Below are 2,764 nucleotides of genomic sequence, written 5' to 3' on the forward strand. Positions count from 1 at the left end.
GAAGGAAGAAAATATTCTATGAACATGAAACAAGCTTCTTTTGGTGAAAGAAAGGGAAACAAATATAAAATAAAAACTATCTAATGGAAAAGTACTATAAAGTATTGTAGATTGGCATATAAATAAGCCAAAGGATATGAGGGAAGGAGTGTTGCTTTTAAATCCATTTAAGTGTAAATAGACATCTTAGAAAACAATTTATTTTTAATGTAAATTGTCCTAATGTTATAGTACAAATTTCCTTTACATATCGTATTGGTTAAACTGTGTCTTTTCAACCCTAATTTTTTTATATTAAATTGTAAATGTTTGTACTGAGCCTTTTAAATGCTTGATGCAGTGTTATTATTCTGCAGCAAAACATTTCTGATGCACAACATTATTTTAAAATAAATCTCTCAAGATGATCATAGTTGCTGAAGTCCCCTGAAATTTATGGCATTTAAGAATAGATGTGTGTTTCTTCGGTGTGGGAGTTCTTCAAGGGAATTTTTAACTGCTGATGCAAACGTTAGTAAGCAATGCACTTGTTTGGTTAAGACTTTTAGCCTTGACCTCAGGCTTTAAACCCTTGTCCTTTATTAATCACGTGTTTCCTGAATCAAAGAGAATACTTTTGGAGGGGGAAAATTGTTCTGGGACTGAAGGAGTGTTATATACCAAACAGACATGCCCAGATGACAAATAACCCCTGAATGATAGCCAGGGTTCATCCAGCTGGTCGGCCCCATATTATGTGATTGATGGTGTTGATGTTCTAAATAGGCCTAAGATGTGCCAAGTATAAGAGCCATAACAAAGTCCTTCAGATTTACACTGTAGATAGAAGGAGGAAGCGAGAAGGCATGTTCCCAGCACATGGCAATTCTAAGAATGGTGTCATGATTACAAGTAACCTTGCAGGGTTTGTCTGGTTTATTTCGAAGTTAAACAAAAACTATTTGTTGGTCAGGAATGAATAGGGTCACATAAGGTCTGTCTCAACCTTATGATTACTAAAATGTTTCTCTGTAACTGGACACCTTCTGAAGCTAGAATAACATTGGAATCCATTGTAGGGATCAATACACTGATTTTTCCTTTGCCTTTTGAGGCTTCTGAGAAAATAAGAAAGGTTCTTTGCTTTAAAAACGAGGTATTATCGTGACATATATTAAAGCCATTAAGTATTTGAAGTAAAATATCTCAAAGATTATTTATCCTAACTTCATTCTCTTTACATTTGGGAAAAGGGAATGGCATTTTTAATCAAGCAGAGTCACAATAACGCTATGTTTATTCCTTTAAAGCATTTATGAATAATTCTTTAGAAGCAAACAATACAGAAAAAAGCCAAAAACTCATATTTGAGCTTTTCAAGAAGACAATGATAGTACTTTCTATTTTAAAATGAATGTTAAATATACTTCATATGCATAAGAAGCTGTTATATTATTATTTTGTTGTTTTTTAATTTATTTTTTATTTCAATAGGTTTTGGGGGAACAGGTGGTGTTTGGTTACATGAATAAGTTCTGTAGTGGTGATTTCTGAGATTTTGGTGCACCCATCACCTGAGCAGTGTACACTGTATTCAATGTGTGTAGTCTTTTATCCCTCACCACCTCCACCCTTCCCCCGCACCAGTCCCCAAAGATCACTCTATCATTCTTATGCCTTTGTGTCCTTGTAGTTTAGCTCCCACTTATGAGTGAGAGCATACAATGTTTGGTTTTCCATTCCTGAGTTACTTCACTTAGAATAATAGTCTCCAATTCCATCCAGGTTGCTGTGAATGCCATTATTTAGTTCCTTTTTATGGCTGAGCAGTAATTCCATGGGGTGCATGTGCGTGTGTGTGTGTGTGTGTGTGTGTGTGTGTGTGTGTATACATATATATATATACTCACACATACGACATTTTCTTTATCCATTATTTGATTGATGGGAATTTTTGCAATTGCAATTTGCAATTGCAAATTGTGCTGATAAACATGCATGTGCAAGTACCTTTTTCATATAATGACTTCTTTTCCTCTGGGTAGATACCTAGTAGTGGGATTAGTGGACCAAATGGTAGATCTCCTTTTAGTTGTTTAAGGAATCTCCACACTGTTTTCCATAGTGGTTGTACTAGTTTACATTCCCACCAACAAAGTAAAACTGTTCCCTTTTTACCACATCCGCTTCAACATCTATTATTTTTTTATTTTTTTGATTATGGCCATTCTTGCAGGAGTGAGGTGCTATCACATTGCAGTTTTGATTTGCATTTCCATGATAATTAGTGATGTTGAGCATTTTTCCATATGCTTGTTTACCATTTGTATATAGAAGCTGTTATATTATTATGAGATTTCATTAGCAAAAATTCACATCTTTATATAGCAATTTTGTGTAAACCTTCACAGCACCAAGAAAGTAGATTTCAATAAACTGACCCTCACTTTTCATCTTCTCCACAAAATTGCTTTTACTAAATTGATTCCATTGGGAGCTTTAAGGAAGAGCCCTGTGAAACTTGTCCCTGGGATTAAAGTAAGCATGTTGTTCAGGACAATTTCCATGAGGACACTTTGAGAAACTTTTTGTAGTCTTAGTATCAGGAATAGTTGTGCCTCTCTGAGACAATATATTTACACTGCCATAAAGACCCTGAGGTGCATGTAACTGAGGACATTTACTTCTTTGCATTGGTCACTGAAAAGCATGAAACTTAATTTGAAACCCATCTTTCACAATAAGATAGGGCTTAATAGTACATGTTTTGGCTTCTATTTCATTC

At 34.7% G+C, this 2,764-nt stretch overlaps 1 annotated feature.

Moving 5' to 3' along the window:
• Positions 424–919: an enhancer, noted in NCBI's record as "eDlx#8 fragment used in the reporter transgene". NCBI's record gives its function as "activates a minimal E1b promoter in somatic muscle of transgenic zebrafish {active_cell/tissue: somatic muscle}" and the evidence as "EXISTENCE:transgenic organism evidence [ECO:0001131][PMID:22914741]".

Source organism: Homo sapiens, chromosome 7 (genome assembly GCF_000001405.40).
Source record: "Homo sapiens chromosome 7, GRCh38.p14 Primary Assembly".
Lineage (NCBI taxonomy): Eukaryota > Metazoa > Chordata > Mammalia > Primates > Hominidae > Homo > Homo sapiens.